Here is a 21,527-nt window from a genome sequence, read left to right on the forward strand (position 1 = left end):
CGCCCGCCTCGGCCTCCCAAAGTGCTAGGATTACAGGCTTGAGCCACCGCATCCAGCCTGATCTCTTTCTTTCTATTTGCCAGTATCTTGTCCTGGATCTTCTTTCTCTCCGTTTTCGCTCCTGGACTCACCTCCCTGGGGGACTGCCAAGGCCTAAGGTACCTGCTTCTCTGGAGACTTCACCATGACCTGCAAGGTCCCTCCTTGAGGAAGTACGTTGCTGCTGGTTGATCCCAACTCCTTCCCAACTTCTCCCTGTGCGGGGATGGGGAGGTAGAGGAATGGAAGAAAAGAAGAAAATTCCAGAGCAAAAGTTGGAATTTTGTACCGGATCAAGACACTTGAGCCTTAAAATGGGGGTGACTGTCCCTTCTCTGCCCACTTTGGAGAAATAGTCAATCAAACGAGAAAATGCTGCCAACTTGTTTGATAAATTGCTAAGGAATTTTCTAAGACCAGATCGTGTGATTTCTTCCCCCCCCTTTGTGTAGAGACTTGAAAGCCCAAGTCACCCTGGCTGGGCTGTTACAAGAGAGCATTTCCCTTGTTTTTTAGGCTTAAGGAAAAGTAACTCAGCTTGAGGAAGAAAACACCATTTCATGAAGTCTTAGCCTTCATTCTTTTCCATGCCCTTTTGAGCCGACTGTTTCTCTATAAAGGCAACTTCTCCACCAAGACCTACCCAGCAGATCTTAGCCAAGCCCCCAGGTTCTGTCTGGGACCCAAAGGCTTCTGCTGAGGCAACTCCCACCACCTGCTTGTGACGCAAGTTTGACATCTGCCCATCACCTACTAGAAAAAGCCTCAGCATCTTAACTTCCTGGGTTTTCCAAATGTTGCCAGACTCTAGCACAAAGAAATGCAACTTTGGTGTATCTCCACATCACGTCCTCAGTCTCAGCGAACCCTCACCAGTCCTCCAAGAGGAACATTGGAAGGTTCTGCTCAGCCCCCCACGTCCCTTCTCTCAAGGCTGGGTCTCAAGAGGCTCTATGTGTTTTGTGACCCTGCCATCTTTGGCCATAGAGGATCAGCTCCTGGTGGCACCTAAGCCAAGCTTGACTCACTCCATTCTCTATTCTGAGTTTGGATTGAGCGCAGAGACTCCAGTCAGTACTTGCTGCACTGAGAGGATGGTATGCTGACCATTTTGACTTCGTGTCCAGGGAAGCAGAGACGACCCCTAACCCGGAGAGAGAGTGGGAAGGAGGGAGAAGTTAGGACTGAGATGTCAAGAGATCTGTGGCCCAGAGTGATGGAGAGAGAAAGCCCAGGTCCTGAAACTTTTCTAGTTCCTGGCTCTGAATCCCCTTGAGGCTTTGTTTCATTTCCTGCCCTTGGATACCATGATCCACCTTCTAATTTTCCATTTTTTGTCTGTTTAGCGTGATTTCTTTTCTATTGGTTACAACTGAAAGCGTATTGATAAGACTGGTAGGTTTTAGAATCCCCATTTTTCAAAGACAGACACTAAAGCTCAGAGATGAAGCCCTGAGGCCAGGATCACCCGGGTAGTGAGGGCACCGGAAATTCCACCTGCCGACGTGTGCGCTTTCTCTACACGAGACACTTTCTTTTTTTTTTTTGAGACAGAGTCTCGCTCTGTCGCCCAGGCTGGAGTGTAGTGGCGCGATCTCGGCTCACTGCAAGCTCCGCCTCCCGGGTTCACGCCATTCTCCTGCCTCATCCTCCCAAGTAGCTGGGACTACAGGCACCCGGCTAATTTTTTTATATTTTTAGTAGAGACGGGGTTTCACCGTGTTAGCCAGGATGGTCTTGATCTCCTGACCTCGCTACACAATACACTTTCTAAGGACTTCACACATTACATCATTTAATCCTCAGGGCACCCCATGAGGTAGATAAAACTGTTAGCATCATTTTATTTATTTTACTTTATTTTATTTCTTTTTATTTTATTTTATTTTATTTTATTTTATTTTATTTTTTGAGATGGAGTCTCGCTCTGTCGCCCAGGCTGGAGCACAGTGGCTTGATCTTGGCTCACTGCAACCTCCGCCTCCCGGGTTCAAGCGATTCTCTTGCCTCAGCCTCCTGAGTAGCTGGGACTACAGGCGTGTGCCACCACACCTGGCTAATTTTTGTATTTTTAGTAGAAATGGGGTTTCACCGTGTTAGCCAGGATGGTATCAATCTCCGGACCTTGTGATCCACCCGCCCTGGCCTCCCAAAGTGCTGGGGTTACAGGCGTGAGCCACCGAGCCTGGCCTATCATTTTAAAGATGAAGAAGTGGGGGCAAGAAGTTGAGCCATCTGCTGGAGACCACACCGCAGGGGAAGAGGACCAGAGCCAGTGAACCTGGGAACTGACGCCAGAGGCTGGGCTCATAAAATGATGTAGTAATGCTAGTCCTGGAGGCAGTGGGCTAGGCATGGAAGGAGTAAAAAGTTTCCAGAATTTGATAAACTCAGGCACGCCGAGTTGAACCACAGACCCTCAGAAGATGGGAGAGCCTGTGGGTGTCCCTCCCGGACCACGCTTCCACCGATGTGAGCATCTGTTCTTCCACACCCCTGACCAACAGTCATTTTTCCAACGCTGTATCACAGAGCCTGCTCCATCATAGAGCAGGTCTGGTCTTGTCCCCTGGGCGATCACAAAATATGTTGGCTCCTCCACCCACACACCCTCCCCCTTGAAGCTCTGCCCAGAGCTCGCCTGGTGTTTGTAGGGGTCCTCCCCTTCTCTTGGCTTCCCCACACTGGTCACAGTGTCATTGCTCTCGAAAGTGAGGGGGCTAAGATATGACCACAGTGCACCTGATGGGACCATAGCCACCTCATACAGTACCTAGCCACTTTCTTGGGCAGGTCCTCAGGACACTCCAAAAGTTCCACAAGGTGAGTATGCCCTCAGTTAATTCCTGAATGGAGACAAACCACAGCTCTGAGTGATTGCATAGTTTCTGCTGTGGTTTGGGAAATATGTGGGTTCATTTATAAGCTGGATTTTGTCAGGAAGACTTCAAGCTCAGCCATTGTCCCCTGAGGATACCCTTCATGGCCCATCTGATACAGAATGAAGAAAGGAAGCACTCTTCAAGGCCGAGACCCCTGGGGAGGAGATGCCTCTATGGTCGAGATGTGCTGATAGAAGGCCCAGCTCCTGGGACCCATGGGTGGCGAAGAAACGGAAAGGGCTTGCAGTGATTCTAGAAAAAGAAGGCTGAGAAGGACCATGAGCTTTTATAGGCCAGAGGTGCCTGAAGACAGGCTGTGGATTATTTCAGGTTGGTGGTCACTGATGCTCTTGAGTGAAAGCCACAGATTTTCTCCCCCAAAATGCACATACAGACATACATTTGGTTAAGGAGTAGTTCTTGGTTCCCCAAACCAATGCAAAGTCCCCATTTAAGAATCCCTGCTCTAGAGAGAAACTTCCATCTAATTAAGACCCTCCTGGAATCTTCGCTGACCCACGCCCGGGCTGGGTAGGACCCTTCCTTGAGCTGCACTGAGCACCTCACTGTTGGCACTGTACTGCAAAGGTTTGAAGAAGGTGGCCCTTAAACCAGCAACATCAGCATCACCTGGAAACGCATTAGAAATGCAAACTCTTGGTGCCTAACCTAGACCAAATGAATTCAAAACTCTGGGGTGGGCTCAGCAATCTGAATAGGCTCTCCTGCTGATTCCAAGGATCACTTGCATTTGAGAAGAGCTGCTGCAAATAGTTCTCCTCTTCATGGTGTGTGTCTGTCCTACTAGATACAAGGCACCTGGCACATAGTAAGTGCTCAAATGAATAATTATCGTATCAAGTTTTCCCGACTCCCAGGGCAGGAGTTTTTCCTTGGTACCATACAGCTTTCAGCTGTGGTGACTGAGACCCCATGTCATTTTGGATCTAGTTTCTACTCTAAGGCCTAAGATCAGGCTTGGCTCTACTAGGCAGAGGCGGGGACCCGGCCTTGAGGCAGGTGCCCAGAAACCTTCACACAAGGATCGAGCCAGACAGACATCAAATCTGGGAGCATCTTTCCAGGTAACAAGGCCCCAACCACCTGGTGGATGAGGGGCAGGTGGACTAGGGGCTGCCTGCCCAGCACATATGCTCAGGGCTCACAGGACCCAACTCTGCCATGCTCTGCAAGCTGCCCCTACTCACCTTGGTGCCTGCTGCACACCAGCCTGGGCAGAGGCTGCCAAACCTCTGGCAGGGACATACTTACCAGGTTGGTGGGGAGAAAAATGGCCACTTTCAATTTCAATTTTTAAGGAATCTCCAACTTTTAGGGGTCTGGGAGGAAGTGGTTAGAAGACTCCTCTTTTTTTTTTTTTTTTGAGACGGAGTCCCACTCTGTCACCCAGGCTGGAGTGCAATGGCGTGGTCTCGGCTCACTGCAACCTCCGCCTCCCGGGTTCAAGCAATTCTCCTGCCTCAGCCTCCTGAGTACCTGGGACTACTGGCTGGTGTGTGCCACCACACCTGGCTAATTTTTGTATATTTAGTGGAGAAGGGGTTCACTATGTTGGCCAGGCTGGTCTCCAATTCCTGACCTCGTGATCTACCCGCCTTGGCCTCCCAAAAGGATTATTTGCGTGAGCCACCACTCCCGGCCAGAAGACTCCTTTTAACGTCTTGTGTTATGAGTGTTTGTTAAGGGGGGCAAGAGTTGTGTTTCTTAATTTCATGTCTCCCATATAGGGCTAAACTCCCAATTTAACTTATTAGGGAAAGGAGGTGTCTTCTACACAGTGCCTCCGTTTCCTAAAATTTTAAAAATAACTTTTTTGAGGATTGTAGGGAAAACATTTCTGTAACCTTTCCTGTCTCATATTGCTCCAGTTCTTTAAACATTACAAAAAAGAACATTTGATTTTTGAAGGTGGGGGCAGAGAGAAGATACCTGGTTACTCTTAATTTCCAATGCTTTTATTTTTGAAAAGTACCCTTGCAGTTTTCTTTTGGGGAGGGGCAAAGAAGGATTTCTGTTCACCTTGCATCTCATAGAAGAGCAATTCTTAACATTTTTATTCCAAAAATCAACCAGTTGTGGGAGATGTAGGATGGATCCAGTAATCCCTCCTTGTCTCTATAATAGGGCAGGTCCTTCATACTTTCAATTTTTAAAAAATCGGATTTTTTAGGAGAATAGGGAAGAGAATAGAAAAAAAAATCCCTTTTAAACTTTCCCAAGTCACAAGGAGGCAGTTGCTCAAGTTAAAAAAAAAAAAACAACAATAACAACAACAAAAAAACTGGCTATTTTGGGGTGTTGGAAAGAAATATCCTGGTTCACGTTTTATTTCACATGCAAGTTTCTCAAATTTTCCTTCTCTAAATCAACCTAACTGGGGGATATGGGGGTGGGGGGCGCTAATATCCCTTAACCTTTAACCCCTCTTGTCTTACTGTAGGACCAGTTTTTCAAACTTTTATTTAGAAATACATATATATATTTTAATTTGGCAAGGATAGGCAGAAACAGCCGCTTCACTGGCATTTCACATAAAAGCGGCTCCTCAAGTATTTATTTTAAAAATCAGTCTGGCTGGGGGGCTAGAGTCCCCTTAACCACTCTTGTCGGACATGGGGCCAGTCCTTCAAACTTTTATTTTATTACATTAGTTTTTTTGGGAGGAGTGGCAGGGCAATAGAATATTCCCAATAAGCCTTCCAGTCTTCCAGCAAGCCAGCTCTTGAAAACTTTTATTTCAAAAATCAATCTGGTTTTTTTTTGGCGGGGGGGTACAGCGGGGTACAGAGTTCCCATTAACCTCTTGCGTTCCGCCGAGAGCCGGCTCCCTGAACTTTTTTTCCAGCGTGAAAATGACATTTCCGAGGGGCTGGGGGACTGGGGGAGGGCAGAAGGGAGCCGGGGAGCGGGCGCGGGGGGCGCGGGGAGGGCAGGGCGCGGCGCGGGAAAGTTTGGGGGGGCGGGTGTGCCGCGGCACTGGGGCTGGCGGACGGGAGGGCGGGCGCGCCCCTGGACCGGCCGGCTTTGTGTGCCACGCGGAGGCCGGCAGCGCGGAGGCCGAGGCCGAGGCCCCGAGCTCGCGGGCCGCACGGCGAGGCCGGCCCGGGGGCGGGCAGGGCGGCGGGGGGCGGCGGCGGCCCCGCGAGGGGCGGCTCGGCGGCAGCGGCTGCCGCGGCGCGGCCGGTGCGGGCCGGGGGTGGGGGCGAGGGCCGGCGCCCCCCCCGCGCGCCCCCAGCGCCCCCGCCCCCCCGGCCTGAGCGGGGCGGGCGGAGGAGGGAGCGGCGGCGGCGGCGGCGGCGGCGGCGGCGGCATTGTGCGCGCACCAGCAGCCCGGCCCGGGAGGAGCAGGACGCGCCGGGGCCGCCTCCTCCCGCACGGACCCATGAACCAGCCGGGCGGCGCGGCGGCTCCGCAGGTACGACGGGGGGCCGGGGGCATGCACCGCGCGGGGGACCCCGGGGGGCCGGGGCCCGGGGCGCTGCGCCACTTCATTGCAAGATTTGCAAAATGCAAAGTGCCTGGGCACGTTTGCGGGCTTTTTGTGGGCGCAATCGGGAGGGTCGGGGTCCGGAGAGCACCCCCCCGGGCGCTGCGGGGTGCGAGGAGGGTGGGGGTGACGAGGGGGTCTTTTGGGGCCCCCACCCAGCGCCCCCTCCGGCCCCGGGCTCGGACCGGAGCCCAGAAAACAAAGCGGCGAGAGAACAGAGCAGCCATTTCAGTTTGGACAATTCACATTTTGCAAAAATGCAACCCCTTCCAGCTCTGCCCCCTCCCCCCCAAATTTGCAATTTTCCCCTGACCCTCTCTGCGCTCGGGGTCCCCGATGACCCCCCGGGAGGTCTTTCCCCCCAGGTCCCCCATTTTTGCAACAATCTTTTTTTTTAGGCCATATTTTCCTTTCTCAATTTTTTTTTTCTAATTTTTCTTCAAACGGTAGTTTTTTCCCATTAAAACGACGCCACCTAGAGGATACTATTTTGTAAATAAAAAAGAAATTAAAATTGAAAAGAAATATTTTTTATTTCTTATTTTTTCAAAAGTTTGCACTACCAGGCAGTGGAGGGGTAAGAGATTCTTTTTTTTTCTTTTTTCGGGTGAAAATTTTCACTTTGATCTTTCCAGAAGCATGGAGACAATTTTTATTTCTGAAGCCAAATCCAGATAATATGTAAATGAAAATTAAGCTGGAATTTGAATGAATTTAGTTCTTGGAGGGGAGAAAGCAAAAAACCTCCTAAAAGCAAAGTCAGTTTGGGTACCCAACTCATTTTAGTTTGAGAAAAAAACTAATTGGAATAAAGAAAGGAGGGAAATTGTTGAGTTTAGGGAAAACTGAGAGAATTGGCTTTATGAAGCAATTAGAAATTGTACTTCATTGTAATTTGGAACTTGTTTAGCTCAGCGGGCAAAAAAAGACTAATTTCTCTATATGGCAATATTTAAAGTTTTTCTATTTCCACGAACGAAGGATTTAAAAGAGAAAATAGAACCTAAAATGTTGGCTTTGGACACACCCAAAAATTGTAGTTTTTTTTTTTTAATTTTGCATTTACATTTTACTGCATTTAAATCCTAAGATTCTAAAGAAAACAGAAACTAGAAAAGTTACAGTGAAATCCTTTCTTTCTTTTTTTCTGTATTTGTTGGGTTTTGTGTGTGTGTGTGTTTTTTTTGTTTTGATGGAATAATTAAGACTGTTTTCTGATTTTGTTTCCTGAAAGGTCTAGGCATTTCTTTTTTGTTGTTGTTTTATCCAGAAAATGTCAGGAACCTTTTTTGAGCAATATTAAGTGGAAAAAATGTAAATTCATACATTATACAAATTGAGTAGCCCACAGATTTGTAGGAGAGACCGCCATTAAAATAAGATATGCATAATTAACATTATTATGAAAAAACTAACAGTGGATTCACAGAAGCTCATTTTTTATGACATGCAACTGAATCAATTGATGAAGACAAGGATTGAGGAATCCTTGGTAAGGAAGAAAATTTTCCCTTTTCTGTCTTGTTCACCCTTCCAATTTGAAAAATTTATTACTTAAAAAAAATTTAGATTGGTTTCAGGCCTCTTTGATTGTGATGTGGGGTTGGTAGTTTATCAATATTTGTTATTTTTCAAAAACCTGATTACTTTCAAAGGGGGAAAAATCCATTAGCCTTGATCATTTTGGGGGGTTTGTGACCAAAAAAAAAAAATGCACAAATTTTACTGACTTAACAAGAAAAAGATAAAAGAGGGATGGGCAAAAAGGAGATGAAAATTCTGATTCTTATCCATCTTCCTTGGTAGAACACTTACTTTGCTGAAGAAATGTGATATAACACCAACTCAGCTGGTTTTAGCAGCAACAAAATAAAGGAAAAATAATCAAAATACAAACAAAAGCCAAACCCAAGGTTTGCCTTTGGAATATGAAAGCATATATGCAAACAATATTTCATGTGGAGGTTTTGGCCTTAAAATGAATCACATGAAGGTGAAACAAAAAAGAAAAAAAAATTTAAGAAGGCAAATAAATATTGACCGAATTGAAATTTGACAGATGAGAATAAAGTACCCACCCAAAGATGAAGCGTTTTGTGATAAATTAGTATCTAATTGAACTTGCTGGGGATTTTGAGCCTATCCCCCAAAAGTTACAATTTTTCTGTCCAAAAACAGCATATTGTTAGGACTTGCAGGGCGGGATCTTGGAGGGACCTTGGATTGGAAATTGATGGTGGGTCACCTGGGGCAAGAAAGGAAACCCTTTGCTCCTTTTGCCAGCCACTAGCTGGTCTTGGGAAAACTGGTGGCCCCAGTCCATAGATTCCCAACCCTGTTTTGTGGAAATTTGGATGTTTAAGTGGAATAAGTCAAATATATTATCTCTGTGAAATATATTTGACAATGGCAGAGGTTTGACATTTCCCATCATCGCCATTGCATTTGGGAGATTTTATTTTTTTAGTAACGAAATCCTTCAGGGCTGACTGGTCACATTCTGACATATTTGGAATGAGCTTTTTTTTTTTTAAGTAGCATAATTAAAAAAATTTTTTTCTGTTGAATTATTTAGGCCGATGAGTAGGACGGTCAAGGAATTTATAATTTCCAAGGGGCTTTGGAGGCCTCATGAGGCAGAAGGCCTGAGTTTAGCAGTGATGAAGGAGAGATGGGCTGGGGAGGGGTGGAGGGGGGTAGGGGCATCTGAGAAAAAGTCAGGGTTGTAGATAACAGGTTATTTCTGGTGCAAGGAATAAAAATATTGCAGCACGTCCCTTTGTGTGGCCTGGATCTCCTGACACACAATTCAGCTTCCTTCATTCCATTCTGCTGAAATTTTGTTCTGTTGTCTATGGCTAGAAGTTGAAAATCATTTCTGGTTTTGTAGAACTGTTTTTTTTTTTTTTCTGTTTTTTTTTTTTTTTTAAATTGGTTATTCTGATCATGTTTGTTGTAAAGGAAGTAGAGGTGCATGATGGTTCTATTGGGGGCGGGGCCAGTTTTCTTTTGTTTCTATTGGTGTCTCTCTCTGGATTGAGATCTGACCTTGGCCTTGGCTCTCTCACCTCCTATTTTAGGTGGACGTGTGACCAGAAATGGACATGTGAGCTAATTTTTATTAGCTCCTGTCTGTTCACCACATTCTCGTAGATTATTGGGCAAAATATCTGGCAAATTGGACTTGGGGGTGGTAATTTGATGATGGGCTGAATTATTTTGGCGAAAGATCGTTTATATTCAGTTTCACAGTGGAGACTCTTATTACTTAATGTTTTGCTTTTCTGCCTAAGGAGGTTTTTTTTTTTTTTTAATTTTTTCTAACAAGGTTTGAAATTTCAAGGGCCTGCTTTATAGTTTGACTTTGGAGCAAGCTAGGAAAAGAGGTTTGCTTATACTTCCAGCTCTGCACAGAGGTGAACTTGAACAAGGGTTCTTGCTTTTGCAGAACGAAAGCAACAAAGATGGCTGGTCAGTATAAGGCTGACCTCTCCCTCGTCCTAGAAAATAAACAGCCAATGGCTTGTTTCACTTGAGAAACTGGGTTTTAAAACTCCTCCAGTGTCAGATACAATATTTTTCTCACTTTTGACTCAGCTCTTGGCATGCTGCTTCCTCTGACCTCAGAATCCTTACGTCTTCTCCTTGGTGGGTGATAAGAACTTCCTTGCCATATATGACTGATGTATATAAGCCGACTTCTCATGGTCATGAGGAAATTTTGAATTTTTTCCATGTTCTTGTGATGTTTTGGGTCAGTTGTACCTTCTTTCTGGTGATGTAAAATGAAGTGGCTCTTTTCAGGAGCCCTAGCCCCCACAAGGTCTTGCTGTGTGACCTTGGACAAATCACTTTTTCCTTCAGAGCCTCAATTTTTGCATTTATAAAATGAACACTTGGGATCAGATCAAGGATAATAATAAATAGGTTTCATTTCTGATTGTAACTCCAAGGAATTGGTTATGGCTGCCTGGATCACTGTGTTGAGAAGGATTCTGAGGCCATATCCCGACTCCCATATTCTAGAGAGAGGGGTGCAGTGGCCAAACAGCATTGTAAATCAGAGTGGAGAGTGTACCTCTTAGTTACCATTCCCAGGCGAGACCTTGAATCATGGGCCATTAGTGGCCTGTGAAGTCAATTTAGTGAATCACAATCAGAATTTTTTAAAAACAAGAATAGACTAGAATATAGGGGAACAAAAAATAGCAGAGGCATACCACAGGGTACAGGTGAGTATCCTCTCATGAAACTTGTATTTATATTTGTGGATGTATGTGTGTGATTTGAAATAGATTTCCTCCTGTGGGTCACGGCCAAAAGAGTTTGAAAGGTACTGGACTAGCTGAACCGCCATGATGTGCTGCAGGTATACTGCACTTTATTGCTTATACTTTATTTTTGCATTTATTATCTCAATTAACTTTTAGGTGAACCCTGTGGGTTAGGTGTCCTGTGCCACATATTTTGAGCCCTGGTTGAGCCCACTTCAAGGGCCACATATGAAGAAAGCTCAGCCACATGGGCAGCCCAGGCACATACCCCAGCTTGTTGGCCTTGGATGAGTCTGGAAGGACATATGGAAAGGCAGATACAAGTTTGAAGGCAGCGTCTTTGCAAGGTCTTCTTGCTGGAGAGGAGATCTAAAGTGTGTGGAGTCCTTGTCTTTTGTTCCCCACTTTTAGTTTAAATTGCCAGAGAAATTTTTCTGGAGTTAGAGAGTCTGTGTTTGTGCTATATTTAATTTAATCAGACAAAAACACAGTCTGTATTTTTGTGTGTGTGCACTTCCTTAAAAATCCCAGAATTTCTGTCTTAGTCTCCTCATCTTTTAAATGTGTCAGGTCAGCGCTAATAGAAATATAATTCAAGCCCCCGTTGCGAGCCACATATATAATTTTTAATTTTCTCACAGTGTATTAAGGAAAGTAAAAGAAACGGGTGCCATTGATTTTAACATATTTAACTCAGTATATCCATAATACTATCCTTTCATCAAGCCATCCATATGAAAATTATTAATGTGACAAGTTACAGTCTTTTGCGGGGGTGCTATTGAGTCTTTGAAATCTAATGTATTTTACTCCTACAGTACATCTCAATTCTGACCAGCCACATTTCACCTGTTCAGCAGCCACATGTGGCTGGTGGCTACTATATTGGACAGCTCAGGTTTGGACCAGTTGTCGTCATCACTGGCTGGCCCCAGAAGGGTAGCAACACCTTTCAGACCTCTTGGTTTTGTTGGTGAGACTTCCTATCAGAATCTCACATGCTCTGAGGCATTTCAGCCTGTAGTGATGATGAGTTCCATCCATATAGCTCTCCTGGCTAGAGTAGCCCACATTTCCCTTTTATTTGTCCCAACGCAGACTTCTGCCAGGGTTAGGCCACTGTGCTGTAGTTAAAAATGACAAATGATGGCTAGTAACTCCGGGATGATGTGTTGCAGCCTGTGAGCTGTTGAAGTCAAGGAGTGTGAGTCCGGGAGGCTGTTGCTTTTTGAAGTGCATTTTAAATAAAGTGTTGCCAGAGAGAAGGATGAAGTTGCAAAAAGGCAGCAGGTGGCCAGGACCAGGGCTGGGGTCTGAGGAGAGGAAGGAGATCAGAGGTAAAAGATGGCCTGGCAATGAAATCTATTTCTGAGCCAAAAACATGGCATCAGCAGGAAATCCCCCCAGGCCAGGCCTTAGGTCAGATGCATAGAGATTTTCCGAATCCACCCCAATTGGGAAAATGGAAAGCTGGGTTTGAGGTCTGCCAGACCAGAGTTTGAAATCCAGCCTCATGGTGTGGTTAGCTTTGTGTGACTTCGGGAAAGTCACTCTGGTTCTGGAACCACAGCTTCTACATCTGGGAAAAGAGGGTTAATGATCCCAGCCTTGCAGGGTTGTTTTAGGATTAAATGAAGGGGTCACATGTGGAGACTCTCAGCCGGTCTGAGGGCCTGAGTAGGTGGTCGACGCATGTGAGTTGACTCAACCCAGTGGCCAGGGATTCTCCATTTGGGGAGATTAAGTCCCACTGACAACACTTGGGGTAGTCCTGGAAACCTGGTGGCTTATCGTTAGCAGGCAAAGTTAGGCGACAAGTGAGAATGTACACTCTTGGCTGTTGCTTTAAAACAGCCTGCCATCCATGAGACTTTCTTGTTAAAGCATTCTGGATGCTTTCATTCCGGGGCTGCTCTAGCTCCTTGGAATGTTTCTGGATTTGTTTCTGAGCCTGTGGCAAGGCTTTAAAAGGGATACATCTCAATCGCGGGTGGACCTGTATGTCTTTGAGCTTCTGCTCATGCTGGGGCCCTTGCCTCTGGTGCCCCTTCCCTCATTCATATCTGCTTCGTGAGAAACCAGACCCTCCTCGAGATCAGCTGCACTTCTTCTTCTGTAGAGCTCCCCCAACAAATTTCCCCAGGTAGGCTTCCTCTCCCTCTGCCCCCATGGTACCTCCCAAACAATGTGGACCCACAGGTCAGAGTTGGTTGTTTGCATTTCTGCTTCTCCAGCCAACTTGTAACATCTGTGAGGGTAGAGATCACCGGTTATTCATTTTAGGGTCTGGCGCAGAGCAGCAGCTCCATAAATATTTGATGACTTCATTTGATTTTTGGAAATAGCTCAGATCAGTGGGCTTTGGGTCTAGTGAAGAGTGGATGACCAATTTGGGCTTGGCCATTTGGTCAAAGCCAATGTTTTATTAGGGAGCCCGAGGCACATTTTCTTACAGCTGGCTCTGAAGCCATGGCTCCCCTGGAATAATAAGTCCAACAGGGATCCTTAGTTGGGGAAATGCTCCTTTACATGTCTTGGGGGATTTTTAAAATGTTCGTCTGATGACTTTCACCCCTGCCCTCCTCACTCCTTTTGTATAAAGTATTTCTTTAAAGTGGATGGGGGACCCCCAGATGCCTGATTTGCAGGTATGGTGAATGGGGCATAGCAGTGCCCTGTATTTATGCCTGGTCTTCTTAGCCAGGTGTCCTGGAACTGAACACCAGGGGCCTGTTTGCAGAATATCCAGGCACACGGGCTCCTTCAACTTGAAGCACCTAAATGTGTGATGTGACCCCATTTTTGGTTGAATTTTGGTTTGCAGATGTCAAAGATTCAAGGAAAATTTATGGGAGAAAACAGAACCTTCTGTTTCTTGGCTTAGTTTTTTTCAGCACGTTTTATAAAATGCTGTCATTTTTAACACTTTGTGGCCAATTTCAGCAAGCAAGCATAGAATCCTAAGTTAAGGTAGACATCGATCCTCAGTGTTCATATTCCCACGTTTCCATATTTCTGAAATCAGGATGCCCCTTACAGTAGATTTGTTCTTCTAGTGAACTTTTTCTCCCTCTTATTTCTTCTCCAAAAGCTGTTATAAAATCGATGGTGCATCTATCAGTTGAAAGCATCTTGGGATTGAGTGTTGTTGTCCTCCTGGTGGGGAGGACTATGACCTGTGGGGGCTCCATGCTCTGTTTACCTCACTTTTCTCTGGGCTTGGCCCCCCCCCCCCCCCCCCCCGCCCTGTACAGTGAAGGCAGGACTTCACCTTGGGAAGAAACATCTGGAACTCTGACTTAGTCCTACTTTCCTGCCATGTCTGTGTGTAGGTTTTGTAATTTTGCTGTGGCCTCTCTAAAAGGGGCAAGTAGCCCGTGGGAGGGAGGTGAAGTCCTGTAAATGGGGGAGGGGGGTCTCTTCAGTACAGCCACATGCATGAGCTGGCCCGACAACAGCGGAGCACCAGTTTGACATTTCCAAGGGTAGAATGAGCAGAGCATAGTCGGAGAGCCAAGGCACGGCTCCCCTCTCTGCTCCACCAGTTAATCATTTTGTGGTGTTTGCCAAAGTACTTCATTTCCTTGCACCGTATTTTCCTTACCTGTAAAGGTGAGATGATAATATATTGATGATGATGATTGAAGATGATGATGCATAGGGTTCTTGTGAAAGTTGTGAGAGATGTAAGAAAAAAGTTTTGTAAAGGGCAAAGTTCTTTTCACTTGCAGCATGTTATTTGTGCATCATCTAGTCCAAGGATGGTAAATAAGTAGCATACATGCTGCCATTCCCCATCCTCTAGCCTGTGGCAGACATCACTAATTGACCATGGTAGTCCTTTCCATTGAGTATGGCCAGCGGCCTCAGAGTCCTTAGTATTATATAATGCTACCCATCAGTTGGGCTTAGATGGGACATGAAGCCAGTTTGTCCTTCCTTATCGACACACACACACACGCACCCCATGGGACATGAAGCCAGTTTTTCCTTCCTTATCGAGACACAAACACACAGAGAGAGAGAGAGAGAGAGAGAGAGAGAGAGAGAGAGACAGAGAAACTGAGGCCTTGGGAAGAAGGTGGAGTGACTTACCCAAGACCTCAGTGAACAAGCGGAAGTGGGACTAAAAGCCTCAGATTTCTTCACTCCTCAACCAGTGCTTTTCCTGCCCTGTGTGTATACACTGTATCAAAAGGAATTAAAATTAATTTGGTCTTGAGAAATAGCGAGAGAATCCTGACTCCTCCCTTCCCTGTTATAATTAGATACCCTTGGGGTTGTCATCAAAGCAGGGCTGGATGACCTGCTTCTCTGCCTGATCCTGGAGTGATCAGGTTTCAAAGGGGAGACGCCTGTGGCTAGGCAGCTGGATTGGATGGTGTCTCTCAGCAGTGTAAGTGACGTGGCAGTGGGGCAAGGCAGGCCCTGGGGTTCCTGGATGATGACCTGGGTTTGGGACAGGTTTGCTGCTTACACACTTTCAAGTCCACAGACAAGTTCTTTAGTCCTTCCGTATCTTAATTTCTGCATCTGAGAAATGGGCTGGTAATGATTCTTCACAGGAATGACATAAGATAACAAGTTTGAAAATGCTTTGTAAACTCTTGACATACATGTTACTTTTTAAATACACGTTACTTTTTATAACTAGTACGAATTATTAGTGCTATGCTGGGTAAGTTGTGTAAACTGAGTCACAGACTAAGGGCCACAAGATGAGTGGGTCCCTTCTCTTGTATGTTATTTTATCTTTTTGCCAGCCCAGGGTTCAGAAAGTTTGGAGTTTGTGAGTCTTTCACAGATTCTTTCCTGTTTGCATCTGTCCCCAGCCTCATCCTGTTTCAATCATGTATGTGGCCTGCCTAGCCCTGGAAGGCCTTGGGGTCTGGGACCCCGACACAGCCTCTACTTGTTCATCTGTTTAGTGGGAGGACAGGCCATCCTTAAACCCTTCCAGGCTTTTTGAAAGCATCGTATGAGTTAATGGACTAGAAAGTGCTTCATGAACAGCAAAGAACTGGAGAAACATGTTGGCGACAACTCCTTTCTTAAAAAGGAAAGGAGGAAGGCTGAGGTGAGGATGGTATTGAGTCGACAAAAAAGTGATATAAATATTTTGGCTGACAAAGCAGAATGAGGCTTTCTATATAAGCTAAAGCGAATAAATGGAGTCAGGTGATGCTTGGCCCCCCAGTCTGCTATAGAAAACACAGGGAAAAACATTGCTTTCTAGTGAAGTGAGCCCTTTGTCAGGGGTGAATCTTTGATTACCAGGGGTCAGCCCTGTTCCTGGGTGAGGACCCAGGGAGGAATGAAACCTGGTGTCTCCCCCAGGGGTGGAAATGGCTCCTGCAAAGTGGAGGAGGCCTGAGTATCTCTTGGCAAGTCCCTGGCTCGCAGTTTGCTGGTAGCACTCAAAGTCAAAAGTGCTTTTGGCTTGCTTACTGGATGTGTTACTGTCCAAGACAGCATATCTGAGGAGCTAGCCATTCTTACCTCTCAGCTTTGAGCCTGTGCCATACAAATTCCTGCCTGTCCCAACATTTTTGTGGAAAATTGGGGGACTAAGGGTGGGAATTTTTGTCAGGTGAAAGTTTGCAGAGAATTTGTGTTTTGTTTTATTTTGGACTCAGAGTTTTTGCAAGCGAAGAAGATGTAGTCGGGGAACTTAGAATACTCAAAAAGAATAAAAGAATAGACGAAGACATTTTTGGATGTTGGGGAATTTTTTTTTTCCTTAATTTCATCAACTGGGAAAAATAACTATAAACATTTAATTGTGTTTATGTGGGTGTTTCTTAAAATGTATGCTGGAAAAGCAGAAAGTGAAACTGATCTGAAATAAAACTGAAACTAGTCTGAAATGAGACCTCAGGGAAGAGAAACTTCCCTGGGGTGCTACTAGCCTTCGTTGGAATTTGTTGTGAGGCCTGCCTTTGTTTTGTCAGAGGGGTCTAGAGCTATAAGGGTAACAGATAGCATCTAAGCCTGTGCCATCCAGTATGTATTGGTATCCACTAGCTGCATGTAGCTAGGAGTAGTTGAAATGTGGGTAGTTAATCCATACAAGATTTCAAAGACTTAGTAGAAAAAAAAGACTATAAAAGTAATAATTTGAAAATACTACAGGTTGAAATGATATTTTACATATTAGATTAAATAAGATATATTATTAATACTAATTTCATTGGTTTCTTTTTACTTTCTACTTTTTTTTTTTTTTTTTTTTTTTTTTTTAACAATGTGGCTACTAGGGAAATTTGAAATTCCCTCCATGGCTCATATTATATTTCTATTGGACAGTGCTGATCTAAGCCAACCTGCTCCTTTTATAGTAGAGGAAGTGGAACCCCGGAGAGGGCAAGTGGCTTGCTCAGGGTCACACAACACCGTCATCAGATACCTAGACAGACTGTAGGACTCAGAACCTGGCATGGGATGGTGATGTAGTGGTGTAGGCATTAGTGTAAGTAGGTGGTTGAAATGGAGGAGGTAATGAGAGTTTATAAGACAGAGAAAGAGAGAGAGATTAGTAATTCAGGGAAAAAATTATGTTGTTTCCCACTCTGCTTATCCCTCCCCTAAACATTAGTTGAACACTTTGAAAGAAAGCAAATCCAACAAGATGAGCAAAAACAAATCTAAAAGATAATCCCTGACAATTTCTCTGCCTACCAAAAGATTCCAAATTCGTTTTTGAGTTTGAACTGGGGTATTTTTGGATCAGGTTGCAGTTCTGGGCTTGTTTGGGCATAGAGACCCAGGTCACATTGGGGGCTGTGGACTTTGAGTCCTGCGGGGACTGGAAGCCATTCTTTTGCTAAGTCGTGTCTGCTTCCTGTAATGATTTGGGAAGGAAGGCTGCTAGAAGACCCAGAGGGCATCCTTTTATAGTGGGCAGAGCTGGCAGGGTGGGGAGTCATCTCCCTTGACTTCCAGCCTGGATCAGAGACCTGGAGGTGGGTGAGCGGCCCAGGCGGGTAGCAGCAGTCTGTAGTTTTCCAATTCAGTACTCCTGCTCTTCATGTTTTGAAAGGAAGTTTGAGCCATGTGTTGGAAATTCAGCTTTATAAAATTTTATTTTTTTAATTAGGAACTTTTCAAGGACTGAAGTTTAGCATTCTTATTTATCTCACATTATTTTTGCACAATGGAATTTATCTGCCTTGAAATACAATCATTGCACATTTGCTGAGTGCTTATTATATGACTGGCCTTGGACTAAGCATTCAATATCTATTATCTCATTTAAAACAGTCACCTTGTAAAGTAGGGTTTGTTTTTTTTTTAAATATGAGAGAGTGGAAATTCAGAGGTGAAAGGAATTGCCCAAGGCTACACAGCTGGTAAGTGGCAGCTGGATTCAAATTTAGGTGGCCACCATATTCTAAGCTCACAACACCACTTTGAGGTGTTGAATCTTACCATTCCCGTTGTACAGCTGAGGAAAGCACAGTAACTTGCCCAGGATGTGGAGTCGATGGATGGGCTGGGACTTGAGACACGGCTACCCATTTGTCTGTGGTGGATTGTTCTGAGCCATGGCGTCTGGGGAAGCTGCTCTCCCCATTTCATGGGGCCTGGGTCTGGGACTCCCTGGCTTTCAGCCCCCAGCTCCCCATGAGCCTCAGCAGACCAGCGGGTTTTGTGTTCCATGCTCACAAAGCCTTTAATACCACGTTTGAAAACAGTTGCAGAAGGTTTGCTGTAATTAATTACATTTGACATACTTGGAATCGGGGCCTCCCGGATTCAGAATGCAAATTTATGCCCAGACAGATGTAAGGTATGCTTGGAGCCAAGAGCTCTGGCATGTCCCAGTCAGGGCCTGCAGCATCGCTCACTGCCCTGATGGGACAGTAACAGGCCGTGAGAGGTGGAGTCAGGATTCAACCCCAGGGATACCTGGAGCCCACAGGCTGTTGGAGGAGAAATAGCCCTGGACGCTTTCCAGTCTCGGGTACATTCTTTGCTCTCTTTGGACCTCAGTTTTCCCTACTGTACAATAAGGGCTTGGACTAGGTTGTCTCAGAAGGCATGTGCTGTTAGTTTGGGCAGGAGGGCAGTTAATCAGAGAATCAGAGGGCAATTGGAAGTATAAACAGCTGAGGTAAGAGAGGCTTGGAATAGCCAGGTAAGCAGGAGGCCTTTGGAACAGACAAGAGAGATTTACAAGGTAAGGTCTGATTTAAGTGCAGGATAGTGCTGATTGCCAGGGTTCCACATGCAAAAATCCTCCAATCAGCGCCAGTTCATCTTCCCACCCACATACACTCACCTCACTGTCTGTATTAGACGGTTATTGCTGTGCAACAAATCACCCCAAAATTCAGTGGCTTAACGCAACAATGATCATTTATTGTCTCATGGTTTCTGTGGGCTAGGAATTTGGCAGTGGCTCAGTTGGTCAGTTCTGGCTCAGGGTCTTTCTGTGGTTGTGGTCATATGGTGGCTGAGGCAGAGTTATCTTAAAAGGGTTCTCCATGCTCATATTTGGTGCCAGGATTCTGAAGACTTGAACAGCTGATCTCCTTGGCCCTGTCTCCCCGCTACCATCTCTCTCTCTCTCTCTCTCTCTCTCTCTTTCTCTCCCTCCCTCTCCATGTGTGGTCTCTCCAGCATAGAGGCTTCATATATGGCTAGACTTCTTACGTGGCGTCTTGAGGCTGCAAAGATGCATGTGCCAAGATAGATAGCACTAAGCAGCTGCAGCCTCACCTGTTATGACTTAGCCTCCAAAGTCATGCAGCATCACTTCACCACATTGTATTGATGGAGGCAGTTACAAAGGTGTGCGCCATTCAGAGGGCAGGACATCAACTCCATCTGTCTATGGAGGCGTGTCAGCTTTACATTGAGCATGTAGGATGGGATATATCTTGATGTGGCCATCTTTGGAAAACAAGGGCCACCATACCATCAGTGTGCCCATCAATCTGTCTGACTAGCTATCTACCTTTCCATGCATCTCTCTCTCTACCCACTCACCCATTCCATCTTTCCACCCTTCAGACGTCTGTCCTTCTGTGTGACTGTCTGTTCTTCTGTCTATCCCAATCACCTAACACATTTTGAGGACCTGTGTGCCAGGCACAGCTATGTGCATTCAATAATGAGCTCGGAGGGAGAATGAGACTAATGTTGATTGAGAACCTAGTGAATGTTAGTCCCTTGATCTTCAAAACAACTCCATGACTTAGAATTATCATCTTTATTTTCCTGGGAAGAAACCAAGACACAAGCTAAATAACTTGCCCAGGGTCATTCAGCCAACTAATGTCAGGGTCAGGACTTGAACTCCAGGACTTCCTGACTACCCTGTCTCTGCATAGGATACAGGCTCTCTTTTGGTTTCTGAGTGTTAAATGTCTACTAAGAGTTAGTTCTCCACTTCCATTTTTTTCCCAAGCGAAAATAGTTTTTCTTCCCTGACTATAAAAATAACATGTTCATTACAAAAACATTCAAGCAGTACAAAAAAATGAAGATTATTCTTTTTAAAAAATCACCTGAAATGCCGAGATAACCGCCCTTCACATTTTGATGAGCATTATTCAAGCCATCTCTACATATTTAAGTACATATGATTTTACGCAAATGGGATTATATTCCATGCTGTTCTGAGGCCTGATGTCTTTTTCTTTTTAAATTCATAGATATATTTTTCATCATCAGCAAATGTAGATAGGTCTTCATTATTATTTTACTGACTACATTGTGTTTCCACTGTATGCATGGCCCAAAATTCAGTGTGCGATTAGATTTTGGTTATTTCTAATTTGTCATTGTTATAACCTACTCTGTGAGAAACATCTTTTTCGTACAGCTTCTCACTTGTGTGATCATCTCCTTAACATCACTGTTTGGAAAGCTGACTGCAGGACCATGGTGGATTTTTATTCTACATGTAGACAGAACTTGCCAAGTGTCTCCCAGCCAGGTGGTATCCGTTTACATTTCTATTAGGAGATTGTGAGTGCCCATTTTACACATCCTGGCCATCACCTTGTGCTTATATTTTATATCTTTGATGGCCTGATGGGCAAACTAATGGGGTTGAATATCTGTTGGTATAGTTTTATATTTTAGTTGGTATGTTTTACTTGCATTATATTTTGGTTGATATGTTTTACTTGCATTTCTTTTATGAATTGCCTGTTCAACCTTTTTGCCCATTTTTCTCTTGCGGTGTTTGTCTTTTCCTTTACATTTTTAAAGAAAAGCTCTTTGGATTTTGGAGATATTGACTTTGTTATTTAGATTCCATTTTTTTCCCCAGACTTTTTAAAACTTAGTTGATGTTATTTAGTGGAAGTGGTGGTTAAATGCAATGTTTACTTTTTAAAAATATTTATATTTGTGTGTTTTGGATTCTTCGTGTGTATGTGTATATGTGTGCCACATTTAAAAAGACTTCTCCATATTAAGAATTTATAGTGAAAAGGCAACCTACAGAATGGCAGAAAATATTTGCAAATCATATGTATTTGGTAAGGGGTTAATATCCAGAATATATAAAGAAATCCTATAAATCAACAACAACAAAAAATAACTCCATTAAAAAATGGGCGAAGAAGTTGAATAGACATTTCTCCGAAGAAATATACAGATGGCCAGTAAGCATATGAAGAGATGCCCAACATCATTCATCAGTTCAAAACCACAGTGAGATATCACCTCATACCCATTAGTATGGCTGTTATTTTTTTTAAAAAAGTGTTGGTGAGGATGTGGAGAAATTGGAACTCTTGTGTGCTGTTGGTGCAGCTGCTATGGAAAACAGTAGGGTGTTTCTTCAGAATATTAAACATAGAATTACCA

At 44.8% G+C, this 21,527-nt stretch overlaps 1 protein-coding gene across 50 annotated transcripts in view, besides 2 other annotated features; it reads left to right on the plus strand.

Moving 5' to 3' along the window:
- Nucleotides 3,676-4,176: an enhancer, noted in NCBI's record as "H3K4me1 hESC enhancer chr9:116636012-116636512 (GRCh37/hg19 assembly coordinates)". NCBI's record gives its function as "activates a minimal SCP1, AML or CMV promoter by ChIP-STARR-seq in naive H9 embryonic stem cells {active_cell/tissue: H9 hESC(naive)}" and the evidence as "EXISTENCE:reporter gene assay evidence [ECO:0000049][PMID:30033119]".
- Nucleotides 4,177-4,677: an enhancer, noted in NCBI's record as "H3K4me1 hESC enhancer chr9:116636513-116637013 (GRCh37/hg19 assembly coordinates)". NCBI's record gives its function as "activates a minimal SCP1, AML or CMV promoter by ChIP-STARR-seq in naive H9 embryonic stem cells {active_cell/tissue: H9 hESC(naive)}" and the evidence as "EXISTENCE:reporter gene assay evidence [ECO:0000049][PMID:30033119]".
- Nucleotides 6,253-21,527, plus strand: part of ZNF618 (zinc finger protein 618) — a 180,285-nt gene continuing 165,010 nt past the window's right edge. For all 50 annotated transcript variants that reach the window (XM_005251692.4, XM_017014242.3, XM_017014241.3 and 47 more), the window contains exon 1: nt 6,253-6,357. In XM_005251692.4, the coding sequence (XP_005251749.1) occupies nt 6,325-6,357 (33 nt within the window). In that variant the 5' untranslated portion in view covers nt 6,253-6,324. The remainder of the gene's footprint in view (nt 6,358-21,527) is intronic.

This window comes from Homo sapiens, chromosome 9, assembly GCF_000001405.40.
Source record: "Homo sapiens chromosome 9, GRCh38.p14 Primary Assembly".
Lineage (NCBI taxonomy): Eukaryota > Metazoa > Chordata > Mammalia > Primates > Hominidae > Homo > Homo sapiens.